The sequence below is a fragment of the Homo sapiens genome, chromosome 1 (assembly GCF_000001405.40).
Source record: "Homo sapiens chromosome 1, GRCh38.p14 Primary Assembly".
Lineage (NCBI taxonomy): Eukaryota > Metazoa > Chordata > Mammalia > Primates > Hominidae > Homo > Homo sapiens.
In genome coordinates, this window is record NC_000001.11 from 148,460,228 (window position 1) to 148,473,728 (window position 13,501).

Consider the following 13,501-nt stretch of genomic DNA (forward strand, 5'->3'; position numbering starts at 1 on the left):
TCCGCGCCCTCCGCCTAGTCACCCGGCCCGGCCGCGGGCCGCCGGGGCTCGCAGAGTGTCAGCCATCCCGGGCAGGAGTCGCGTCTCCCCACCCCGACCTCCACTCGCGCCGGGAGCTGAGCGGCAGTGTAGGTAGTGAAGACTCCCTGGGGCTCCCAGCCTTCCCTCTCCGCGCTCTCCCCCCGTCACTTTTATGAATTCGACTCCACTTTCTAAAGGAATTATGAGTCTTGTGGCAAACACAAACCGGAGTGGCCGGGAAGGGGAAAAGGGGGGAAAAGAAAATCTTTAAAAATTAAAAAAATAATAAAACGAACAAATCTTTACTTGTTGCCACATCAGATAACACGGAAAAAGCCTTGAAATTACTCCAGATGTGCACCCTCCCCTTCCCTCAGTGCCTGAGTCTTTTTCCTCCAGATCGAAGTATTTCAGCCCTTTTGGGGCGCCGTTTGCGAAACACAGCCCCTTTTGAGGGACTTCCTCCTCTTGAAAAGACTCACCAGTTCTCCCTTCCTAGGTGTTTCTGTTCATGAGAAATTGTCAGAATCAACTGGCACGTTCCAGGGTCTTCCTAAAGGATGGAAACCTGTTTGGCTTGCTTTTTAAAACCACCTCCTTTGACAGTCAGTCCAGGGAAAGCTACAATCCAGGTGTTCAGAAATGAGATACTGCTCTGATTCTCACTTTCTGTTCTGCCTAAGGACACCTCAGGCTGACGTAGCTGCCCCACCTCTATATTGGTTTATGCCCTAGGAGAGGTCTCCAGCAGGCACTTTTCTTGTTGATCTTTTCTCCGCTGAGAAGGCTCCCGCCAGTAGACCATGACTCGTTTTGCTTTGCATTCTCAGTGCCACGTACAGTGCCTGGAATACAGGAGGGTGGCCTAAATGTTGGCTGAATGCATGAATGGTCATTTCTTGCAGCCTCTTTTCATTACCCTGTCTCATCAGCTTTCTTATCAGAATAAGTGCCCAAGAGTGCCAAACTGTTTCAGACCCTTAATCAATTTAGTTCTGATTCTGACCGTGACAACATGATGTTCAGCACGGTAGGAATGACTGCCATCTCTGAAGGAGTCTTAAGATTCTGTAGAATCAATGAAAGATTCTATGTTCTAACGCCTTTATCTTTCAGGAAAGAAATTACAAAATAGTTTCATTGTCCAGTCATATTCACTATGAGTTATAAGAGGAAACATTCTATCTAGAATTAGAAATACCATTTGACCCAGCCATCCCATTACTGGGTATGTACCCAAAGGACTATAAATCATGCTGCTATAAAGACACATGCACACGTATGTTTATTGCGGCACTATTCACAATAGCAAAGACTTGGAACCAACCCAAATGTCCAACAATGATAGACTGGATTAAGAAAATGTGGCACATATACACCATGGAATACTATGCAGCCATAAAAAAGGATGAGTTCATGTCCTTTGTAGGGACATAGATGAAATTGGAAATCATCATTCTCAGTAAACTATCGCAAGAACAAAAAACCAAACACCGCATATTCTCACTTATAGGTGGGAATTGAACAATGAGAACACATGGACACAGGAAGGGGAACATCACACTCTGGGGACTGTTGTGGGTTGGGGGGAGGGGGGAGGGATATCACTGGGAGATATACCTATTGCTAGATGACGAGTTAGTGGGTGCAGCGCACCAGCATGGCACATGTATGCATATGTAACTAACCTGCACATTGTGCACATGTACCCTAAAACTTAAAGTATAATAATAAATTTAAAAAAAAGAACAAAACATCACATTGTACCACATAAAAAAAAAAAAGTTGGATTTTGCAAGGAAGATAGACATCTGACTAAAGTTTGGCCTAGCAAGGAATCTTTGTTAGTACTACTTCTTGTTTAAGGAAAGAAGAGACACTCATCTTTCCTTCAAACAATATAAGTCTCTTTTCTTGTTTGATCACCTTTTATTCATTAAGGACCAGTTGAATCATCTGTTGGGACTTGGTAGCAGAGGATATTTCCTGGATAGTGTGAGCTATCGGGCCTTTAATGTGGGAAGTTTAGTTTGTATACAAATAAAATTAAAAAAGATTAATAGTTGGAACGAACTATAAAGACAGTTTCTGAGCCCAGAGGGCAGCTGATCAATAAGATTTCTAGATGCTGGGCTTGTAGTATCTTCAGCTGGAGTGAGAAGAGGCATTGGATTAGTTTGCAGTTTGAATGCCATAAAGATGGGCCACACACAAGCTGTTGTGGTAATTTTTCTGAAGCTTATGTCAAGTCATCCAGTTTCAGTTTGAAGGACTTCAAGAAATGAAAAGTTTATAATTTTAGTGATTCCAAGCCAGAATAGCAGGAAAAAAATGAAATATTAATTTGGAGTGTTGTAGCTAAATATTGTAGTAAACTAGAAAAATTGAGGATCTATTGCAGATTGCAGGCAGATAATAAAACCTCAGAAAAAAAAAAAAACAGCTAGAATCTAATATTGGGTGCACTGCAGTTTTCTCCTGAAACATAACTTTTCTCTCTATATTCACTCTCATTTCTGTCAAAGATAATCAAAGTCAGATTGATTTGTTTGCTAAATAAGTTTAATCTCATTAAACTTGTACTGGTTATGTACACAAGTGCAGTTAAGAGTAGTGATTGACCCTTTAGGCTCTTTTAAAGGTTGCGTTAGTCAGATAAGAAATCTCAGATTAAACTTTTTGTTTTTGTTTTTTTAGACAGAGTCTCCCTCTGTCTCTCAGGCTGGAGTGCAGTGGTGCGATCTTGGCTCACTGCAACCTCCGCCTCCTGGGTTCAAGCGATTCTTCTGCTCAGCCTCCCGAGTAGCTGGGATTATAGGTGCGTGCCACTATGCCTGGCTCATTTTTTGTATTTTTAGTAGAGACAGGGCTTTCACCATATTGGTCAGGCTGGTCTTGAACTCCTGACCTCGTCATCCACCTGACTTGGCCTCCCAAAGTGCTGGGATTACAGGGGTGAGCCACTGTCTCCAGTCAGATTAAACTTTTAAAAGCCACTTGAGGCTGGGATACAAGCCCAAAACTTGTCATTAGTCTGCACCTGTTACATTTATAGATTTAGATAAATTTCTCTCTTCTTGAGGTCCCTAAAATATCCCAAGGTTTCCAGACCCACCAAGCAGTGACATTCTTTACTTACCTGTAAGTCTGGGAACCCTAGAGCCAGTTTTTCCAAGATGGTACTTTATTGGTTCCATAAAGCCAACTTTAGTCCCCTAAAGCCTTCTGGTCATATCTGAAAACATGATGTTTCAGTCAAAGCCTTGGTGATATAACCTGTGTTTCCAGTTTGTCCTGTTACAAAGACAACAGATTCTTATTAAACTTATGCAAATAAATACATTGTCATAAAAATAAGAATATACACAAATAGTTTCCAAATTCTGGAGGGATAAGTTAGGGGGAAAAAGTAAATGTTTCCATTTTGCACAAAAGTATTCTTTACTGAATTGGTGTAAGCTAGAGATAGCTTAAAAGAAAGTTTTCTGAAATCTGGAAAACAAAACATTTAAAGAACTAGCAATGTTTCCAACAAAAAGTCATTTTAAAAATTATTCTCATCAGTTCATTCAGTACCATGTAATTAAATCTTGTTTTGCTTGATCTTGGGTTAGTAGTTACATGAACCCATCAGTTTTATTAGAGTTCTGGAAATTCTTACCAGTCCAATTGTATGACGTTAAACTTGTTCAGAAACCTGTATTCCAGAATACTCATAAGAGTATTTTCCATAAATCTCCTTGAAGAAGAAGCCATTTTGGACTGTAGCTAATTTCAAATGCTTTTAGAGAGCAATTAAATTAAAACAATAACTGTCTACAGATGACAAGTACTTAAAATGTCCATGGTTAAAAAATCTAATGAGAGTTCATTACAATGATGCAATTTATAAGAAAATTTGGTTAGCATGGCATACAGCATTTTAACATAATAACCAAAATTATGACTGATAACATACTAGATTTCTAGGAATCTCATACAACTTTTGTACACTTATCCCAATAATATATCCATAAATATAACTTAAAGATGGCTTAGCATCACTTTTTATTTGAATGCTACACATATAATTTAGCATATTAAATAAATCTAATTGGTTTAATCTCTCTTTCATACAAAAAAAAATATTCTTTGTGGCTTTTTGAGGGTCCAATATGGAGAATCCTAAGTTAATTTGAGGTCAAAAAGACTTAACTTAGAATGTGATTTTGGGAAGATTGTCAAAAATGTCAAAAAGTTTAAAACATTTAAAACAAATATGACCATAGTTATCTATTTAATAAAAGCTCCATTAAAAGATTTTAAAGGCAAATTCAGATTACATAGTTGTGAACAAGAACTTAGCTCCTTTAATATTGAGAAGACTCACTTTTCTTAAGTAACCAAAAACCTAATAAAACAACATGAAACTCAAGAAATTATCTTGATGAAACAGAGTCTCTGTTTCTGAGGCCAATTACTTAAAAGGAAAAAAATACCCTTTACATTCTCAGACCAACATTCCAAGAAAACTTTACCATTTTAACGGAGAAGATCAAATTCTACTTTTGAATCAATGTATTACTAAAACTAAGTTTTAATAAAACCTTATAAATAAATCTATCCAATCTCAGTCAGCTTAGACCATACAAGATAAGATTTTCACAATCCTTCTAGACATCTTTTCTTATTTACTTTTGCAACAGACATACACCAGACAATTAAGCAGTTTACTTTTACTACATATTCTACTCTTAGGTTGAATTTATGGTTTTATGGCCTTAAACATCTAACAGTAACAACACAAACTTGTCTAATCAGCAAAGCCAGGTAAAACAAGTGTATGCTGACAATTCTGAAAATGTTTCTATTTTTATTTTACCAATATTTTTTAAACTAGTTTTTATTTACTAAGGAATATCCCAGATTATGTGAACTTAAAAAAATTGGGTCAGTTTCTACTTTTCTGAAAATTTTATACATTCTTATTTGTTTGAGTGCTCATTTATCCCTAGCCAATTTGGGTATTTTAGTTTGGTAATAACGTTGGAGGTAGAAAAATATCACATATACATAACATAATAACATAGATACACACATGTACACATACACAAACATATAGACTGATGTAACCAGATCTTATGACTTCTCATTTAAAAAATTTTAACCAGGCCAGGTGCAGTGGCTCATGCCTGTAATCCCAGCACTTTGGGAGGCTGAGGTGGGTGGATCACCTGAGGTCAGGAGTTCGAGACCAGCCTGGCCAACATGGCATAACCCCGTCTCTACTAAAAATACAAAAATTAGCTGGGCGTGGGGCATGGTGGTGCCCGGCTGAGGCACAAGAAGCACTTGAACCCAGGAGGTGGAGGTTGCAGTGAGCCGAGATTGCCCCGCTGCACTCCAGCCTGAGCAATGAAGTGAGACTCTGTCTCAAAAAAAAAAAAAAAAAAAAAGTTTTTAACCATGAGGCAGTAAAACAGAGTAATACAAAAATACAAACTCACTGGTTTATCTCCGCTTTATATTGTTATCCAAATTGTGTTTCTGGTGAAAAAGGGATAAGTTGAGTTGACCTACATAACAAAGGCTAAAGCTTTTTACCAATATTTGTGGAGGAGGTTTTTTAAGATTTTTTTTTTTTTTTTTTTTTTTTACTTTATCAGTTTCCAAACAGTTTCTTTTTTTCTCCTATTATCAGCCCCAGGTGCTTGTTTTTGAGGGGCCTCTGAGTCCCTTGAGAGCCCCCTCAAAGGAGGGTAGGATAGGGGTCCTGAAGTTCAGCAGAAAAGAAACGGGTCTGGCAAGAGTGGACAGAGAAATAGTCAGCAGAGACTTGAGAAGAGGGGTTTCAGGTGACAGAGCTCCCATGGGAGAAGCAGGATCCAATAGAGAGAAGAGAAAGAGCAGAGTGGTTTTATAGAGAGCCAGGAACAACAATTTGTAGCCCAGGGAATCAGGGAATAACCCCTCACTCAGAAAAAGAGAGCCAGAAAGAAGAGAATTCTAGTCTAGGGACTCAGAGAATAGACCACTCAGAACAAGAAGCCCACACGAAGACCTTCCTGCCCAGAGGATTGCTTTCAAAAGAAGCCTGGGACTCTACCCCAGCTTCAGAGAGAATATTCATCCCTTCAGATTCAAAATCTGTCCTTAGCCATCAACGGGCTTTTGTCTGGAGCAATGGCTCAGGAATCTGATTCACCAATGGATCCCTAATCAGTCAGAAATGACAACAAAGACTTCAAAGGCATGCATTTAGGGTTCTGAGTGAGAGGCCCAGGATCCAGTGATGAATCTGTCCTAGTTGAGTTTCAACACCATAATTGTTAAAGAAAAAATTATTCAGTGATACTTCAAATGCACAGTAAAGAAGACTTTATTCAGGACCATCACCATAGATATAGGAACCACTGCAACACAGTCTTGGAGCTGGGGAGAGAGATGGGCTTAACTCTGAATACGGCATGGGGAAGTGGGAATTTATAGCCCAGGAGCAATGCAGGGGTCAGTGAATGGAAAATCACTAAGAGGAAACATCAGGAGTAAGGGAGAGTCTGGCTAAACCGACCTAAAAGAATTCTTGCTGAAGACTGGCCAGGGTGATCAGACATCACCTGCAGAATGGTGAAGAATGAAGAACCTGATCAGATATTGAGAATGAGGGGTTCTTTGGTAAACTTGGCAGTGTTCTTTGCTAATGCTGGATTTTGCGAGGAAGTGCACAGTTTAGCCTAGCTGAAGATTTAGAAGCCTGACTAAAGTTGGCCAAGCAAAGAATCTTTGTTATCAACATATTCCATCAAACCTCACATCCCTGCCTTAAATGATCAAACCATCCGCACTCTTGTATGCTACTGTTCTCCATGAAAAGTTACTTCTTCTTTGCCTTAACCAAAATCCAGCCATTCTAGAAAGACACCAGAAGGCTTTCTGCAGCATCTAAAATTCCCCACATTCTAGGCCCAAATCCTTTTCCTTTCCCTGTTGCTTTTAGATCCACATTGTGTAACCCTCATCTAGAAACCTCAGTTTCTTGGAGTCATTTTTTTTTGGGGGGACGGAGTTTCCGCTCTTGTTGCCCAGGCTGGAGTGCAGTGGCACGATCTCAGTTCACTGCAACCTCCATCTCCCAGGTTCAAGCGATTCTCCTGCCTCTGCCCCTTGAGTAGCTGGGATTACAGGTGCCTGCCACCATGCCTGGCTAATTTTTTGTATTTTTAGTAGAGACAGGGTTTCATCCTTTTGGCCAGGCTGGTCCCGAACTCCTGATCTCAGATGATCCACCTGCCTCAGCCTCCCAAAGTGCTGGGATTATAGGCGTGAGCCACTGAGCCAGGCCATTCTGTCTTTTTATATAATGTAACTTGTACTTTTATGTAGTAAATTATCACAAAGGTGTCAGACACTCTGAGGAAGAGTATTTTACTGTATCATTCCCATTACCCAATCAGGAAGTCTTAACAGGCAGATTTTAACAAAAATATAAGACACAACTGTGCCCTAGCTTTTCTCACATACTTCCTACCTCACACTTCACACATTTCTTTTTCTCAGCACCCACTCTTAAGTAATAATTTATTTCCCCTGAATATTATTTACCTTCTGTGGGCTACTTTACATATCATCTGAAAGCATGATCAAAACAGTTATATTTGTGAATAATTTTATTTTGGTTTATTTCTTAGCAGAAGGAGGAGTTAATAGTAACATTTGTAGGCTGGGCACGGTGGCTCACGCCTGTAATCCCAACACTTTGGGAGGCCGAGGCTTGCGGATCATGAGGTCAGGAGATTGAGACCATCCTGGCTAACACGGTGAAACTCTGTCTCTACTAAAATACAAAAAAATTAGCCGGGCGTGGTGGCGGGCACCTGTAGTCCCAGCTACTCGGGAGGCTGAGGCAAGAGAATGGCGTGAACCCAGGAGGTGGAGCTTGCAGTGAGCCGAGATCGCGCCACTGGGCTCCAGCCTGGGAGACAGAGCGAGACTCCATCTCAAAAAAAAAAAAAAAAAAAAAAAAAAGAACACTTGTAATCTCCCAGAGATTGCCAAGGAAAACTTTCTCCTGGCTGAATTTATGTAGAGTTCATCATCTAAGCATAAAATATTTTATAAAGGAATGGGCCAATCAAATAACTGCTATGCGGTTGACACCATAAACCAAGTTAGCTTAGTACCACTCTAAATAGTTGCTGGGAATATAATGATTTTCAAAGACATGATCTCTAGAAATAAATAACTGAAAGAGAAGCACGGTGTCATGCATTTATGCATACACATAAGCAGGGACTAGAGATCAAGAATAGAAATAAAAGAGGTTTTTACACTTGGGGTGCTAAGATCGCAATGATTTATTTGGAGAGAAAACGGAAGCCCTTCTTTAGTAAATGCAAAGCACCATGTGTTTAATGAAGATACATGACCTAAGCTTTGAAGATCGTTTAACTAATTCAATAAACTTGCCAAGTATCCATTACTACATCTCAACAATCAAATTTACAGTGACATCTTTGAGTTAAATCTCTCCATAGATGTCTGGAAACAGCTTAATTCTGTTAACTGCTGCCCATTGAATTATGCTTTATTTGGTCATAGAATTTCATGTCATCTGTTAGTCTCCCTCACAACTTGGGAGATGTTATTCCTGTATTGTCTGTTCTCGTTGATGAAGAGAAGTCTGTGATAAAGTAATTGTCCTTCCTTTGCAGGTAATCTGCCTTCCATCTCTGGTTGATTTGAAAATATTGTATTAGTCTTTAGTATCTTGCATTTTACTGTGGTATGTCTACATATGGATTTATACTTACTGAGTTTGCTCAGAGCTTGGAGTATTTCCTCAGTCTTAAAGGCCCTAGTTGTGAAAATGTTACTACAGAAAAACTTTCTTTTTTTAACTTAAAATCCTTTTTATTGGGAAATAAATGTAAGATTATAGATGTTTGAAAATAAAAGAATTGTTAGAACAAAAAATACTCATATGCCTGTTACCCTAATTTGTCTATTATTATTTTATTAAATTTAGGTTACCATTTGTTCTCTCTCTCTCTCTCTCTCAATATATATCCCAATTTTCAGTCTTTAGATCTAAATCTTTCAGCAACCTGGACTATCATGGCCCCAGTGTAATGCTTGGCTTTGTACCTCATGAGGGAAGAAATGTTTTTTTTTAATCTTAAGTTCTAGGGTACGTGTGCATCACATGCAGGTTTGTTACATAGGTATACATGTGCCATGTTGGTTTGCTGTACCCATCAACTTGTCATTTACATTAGGTATTTCTCCTAATGCTATCTGTCCCCCAGCCCCCCACCCCCTGACAGGCCCCAGTGTGTGATGTTCCCCACCCTGTGTCCATGCATTCTCATTGTTCAACTCCCATCTGTGAGTGAGAACATGCGGTGTTTGGTTTTCTGTCCTTGTGATAGTTTGCTGAGAATGATGGTTTCCAGCTTCATCCATGTCCTTGCAAAGGACATGAACTTATCCTTTTTTATGGCTTCATAGTATTCCATGGCACATATGTGCCACATTTTTTTAATCCAGTCTATCACTGATGGACATTTGGGTTGGTTCCAAGTCTTTGCTATTGTGAATAGCACCACAATTAACATACGTGTGCCTGTATACATCTTTATAGTAGCATGATGTATAATCCTTCGGGTATACACCCAGTAATGGGATCGCTGGGTCAAATGGTATTTCTAGTTCTAGATCCTTGAGGAATCGCCACACTGCTTTCCACAATGGTTGAACTAATTTACGCTCCCACCAGCAGTGTAAAAGCATTCCTATTTCTCCACATCCTCTCCAGTATCTGTTGTTTCCTGACTTTTTAATGATCATCATTCTAACTGGCATGCGATGGTATCTCATTGTGGTTTTGATATGCATTTCTCTGATGACCAGAGATGATGAGCATTTTTTATGTGTCTGTTGACTGCATAAATGTCTTCTTTTGAGAAGTGTCTGTTCATATTCTTTGCCCACTTTTTGATGGGGTTGTTTTTTTCTTGTAAATTTGTTGAAGTTCTTTGTAGATTCTGGATATTAGCCCTTTGTTAGACGGGTATATTGCAAAACTTTTCTCCTATTTTTTAGATTGCCTGTTCACTCTGATGAGAGTTTCTTTTGCTGTGCAGAAGCTCTTTAGTTTAATTAGATCGCATTTGTCTATTTTAGCTTTTGTTGCCATTGCTTTTGGTGTTCTGGTCATGAAGTCTTTGCCCGTGCCTATGTCTTGAATGGTATTGCCTAGGTTTTCTTCTAGGGTTTTTTATGGTGTTAGGTCTTTCATTTAAGTCTTTAATCCATCTTGAGTTAATTTTTGTGTATGGTGTAAGAAAGGGATCCAGTTTCAGCTTTCTACATATGGCTAGCCAGTTTTCCCAGCACCGTTTATTAAATAGGGGATCCTTTGAGGGAAGAAAATTATTTTTAATATTTTAATCCAGCTATGTATGTAAAAAGAAGTCTTTTTCATATTTTATCTATTAGTTCTGTATGATTGGAGTATGAGTCAAAACATCTCAATATAAATAAAAAGTTACATTTCAGTAATTTTTTTTCTAAAATTACAAAACACTAGTGGTCAAAAACACTACTATTTCCAATTCTCTTTACTTTGTTAACATTACTTTTTGTACTTATGAGAGAAGAGTTTGCAATCCAAAAAGAGCAGGAAGGAAGAGAGATTAGAGATTTTTTCTCCCGCTTGCTCTATACATATGAGATATTTATATATCTATATATCAACAGTTGACCTTTGAATAACACTGGTTTAAACTGTGTGAGTCCACTTATAGGTGGATTTTTTCAGCCAAATACAGATTGAAAATATAGTATTTGTGGGACGTGAAACCCACATATGTGGAGGGCCAACTTTTCATATGCGAGCTCTGCAAGGTTGACTGTGGGACCTGAGTATGTGCAGACTTCGGTATATGCAGGGCTCCTGAATGCAATACCCCACTAATACTGAGGGATGACTGTATATGTCTCTATCTATCTACTCTATCACATATATATATATATATATATACACACACACACAAATATGTGTATATATATATGTATGTGTGTGTATATATATATATATATATATATATATACTTCCTATATTACTTTGCTAGGGTTGTTATAACAATTACTGCAGACTGGGTGAGTTAAACAACAGAAATTTATTTTCTCACAGTTCTGGAGGCTAGAAGTGTGAGGTCAAGGCATCAGATGTGTTAATTTTATTCTGAAATTTCTCTCCTTGGCTTTTAGATAGTCATTTTCTCATCTTGTCTTCTCATGGACTTTTTTCTGTGCACATGTATGTCTGTACCTAAATTTCCTCTTCAAATAAGGACACCAGTGATATTGGATTAGGACCCAGACATGTGACCTCATTTTACATTAGTTACCTCTTAAAAGTCTCTATCTCCAAATATAGCCACCTTCTGATATACTGGGATGGCAGGGGGCAGGGTACAGCATATTAATTTGGGGAAAGGACACAATTCAGCCTATAACATATGCAATATATTCTTCTCTGATCTATATTATATAACTTTTATATATAATACATATATAATTTAATATACATTTTAACCCCTTGATTAATTTTCTCACTGCAGAGAAAACAAGAATTAAAGAAAAGCTTCAGGTGATACCGTTTTTGAATGAGTAAGAATTGAGCCTACCCTTAACACAAGAATGAAGTAGAAATAAACTGACTTAGGGAACAGCATAAAAAAGTTCTCTTATGAGTCAAGATTTCAGTGTGATGTCATCATATTTTCCAGGGATTAAATGTTAGAATATATTGCATGCCCATATTGAGGTGGAATCATAAACTTATTTCAGACTTATTATAATGGCTCATTTTCTTATGCCTTCACCATTGAACTTGTACTTAGCTGGGGATTGAGCTGAAAGTTTGCCTTTTCTGTATCTAGCATAGTTGCACCAAATCTGACCTTAATCCCAAATTTTCCTCTCTGTAATATTTTGTTTCCAAATGAGGCTCACATTGAATTTTCTCTTGTTAGAAATATAACTGGCAAGACCAATCAAAACCATTCATTCCATTCAGTTGCCTGTGAACAAGCTTGATTTGCTTTGTTATTAATATAGCTTCTTGTGGGTTAAGTAGAAAGCTCTTTTGTAAATATCCCTCAGTTTAAGTACATATGGTTTACATTTCCAGGTAAACTATAAATTCTCTGAGAAAGGCCCAGCACGGTGGTTCAAGCCTATAATCCCAGCTCTTTGGGAGTCTGAGATGGGTGGATCACTGGAGGTCAGGAGTTTGAGACCAGCCTGGCCAATGTGGTGAAACCCCATCTCTACCAAAAATACAAAAATTAGCCAGGCATGGTGGTGCACGCCTGTAATCTCAGCTACTCAGGAGGCCAAGGCAAGTGATTAAACCCAGGAGGTGGAGGTTGCAGTGAGCTGAGATCGCACCACTGCACTCCAGCCTGGGTGACAAGCTGGACTCTGTCTCAAAAAAAAAAAAAAAAAAAATCTGTGAAAAGATCTGTGATTTCCATTCTCCTTTATAGTAATTGTTAAGCACTCACAATTAGATGGTTATAACAACTAACAAAGAAAAACAATTATTTTAATAAATATTTTTCATCATTTTCTCCTTTCTAAGCCCTATGCTATGCACTAAAAACTGCAGAGAAAATCAACACATTCTCTACCTCACAGCAGATTTCTTGGAGAGAGATAGGGGTGGGGAGGGGAATAAGGGTTGCTAAATGTTGTCAACTTTGTAATACAACTCTCAAAGGGAGATAGTTATTAGGGAGGCAAAGTGCTCAGGCTCAGATTTCAGGTTGCTTAGATTTGAATTCTGTCTTCACTGCTTCTTTTATGATTTGCCCAAATTACTTAAGCTCTTTAAACCACAGTCTCCTCATCCTTAAGGTAGGGATAATAAATAGAACTTATCTCATAAAATTACTGTGAGGATTATAAGTGATTATGAAGTTGATTAAATTTCCCCAGTGCTTCATACAAAGAAAGGACTCAAAGGATATGCTAGTTCATAGTAGGGGCATAGAAGAAGATATCCCTTCTCTCCTGGGATATAGGGTATACATAACTGTCCACTATAAAATTGAAGATAGGCTAGAGAAAAGCTAAAAATGAAGAATCTAATAACTCTTTAGCCAAGAGAAAATGAAACATGAGGGAAAGGGAGAAGTTCCAAATGAGGTCCACATTTGTCGTGGGCCACTGAATGGTGGTGCCATTCAGGCAGAGGAAACCCAGAAGGAGGAGTCATTCTGTAGTTAGAGGGCACTTAATGAGATAATATTAGAGATAACTGAGGTTGAGTTGTTGGTACATATCTGGGTGCAAAGTCTCCATAGGTCCGGAATTTTGAATAGTTTTCTGGAGTCATCTGGTTATTGTTAAAGCCAAGAGAATTGGTGAGATCACAGAATACAATAATGATCAATAAGAGGGAAGGGAAGAGAGCCAAGAATGGGAGACTGGG

At 38.5% G+C, this 13,501-nt stretch overlaps 1 annotated feature.

Annotated features, from left to right (window-relative positions):
- Positions 4,795-5,314: an enhancer, noted in NCBI's record as "H3K4me1 hESC enhancer chr1:143749622-143750141 (GRCh37/hg19 assembly coordinates)". NCBI's record gives its function as "activates a minimal SCP1, AML or CMV promoter by ChIP-STARR-seq in primed H9 embryonic stem cells {active_cell/tissue: H9 hESC(primed)}" and the evidence as "EXISTENCE:reporter gene assay evidence [ECO:0000049][PMID:30033119]".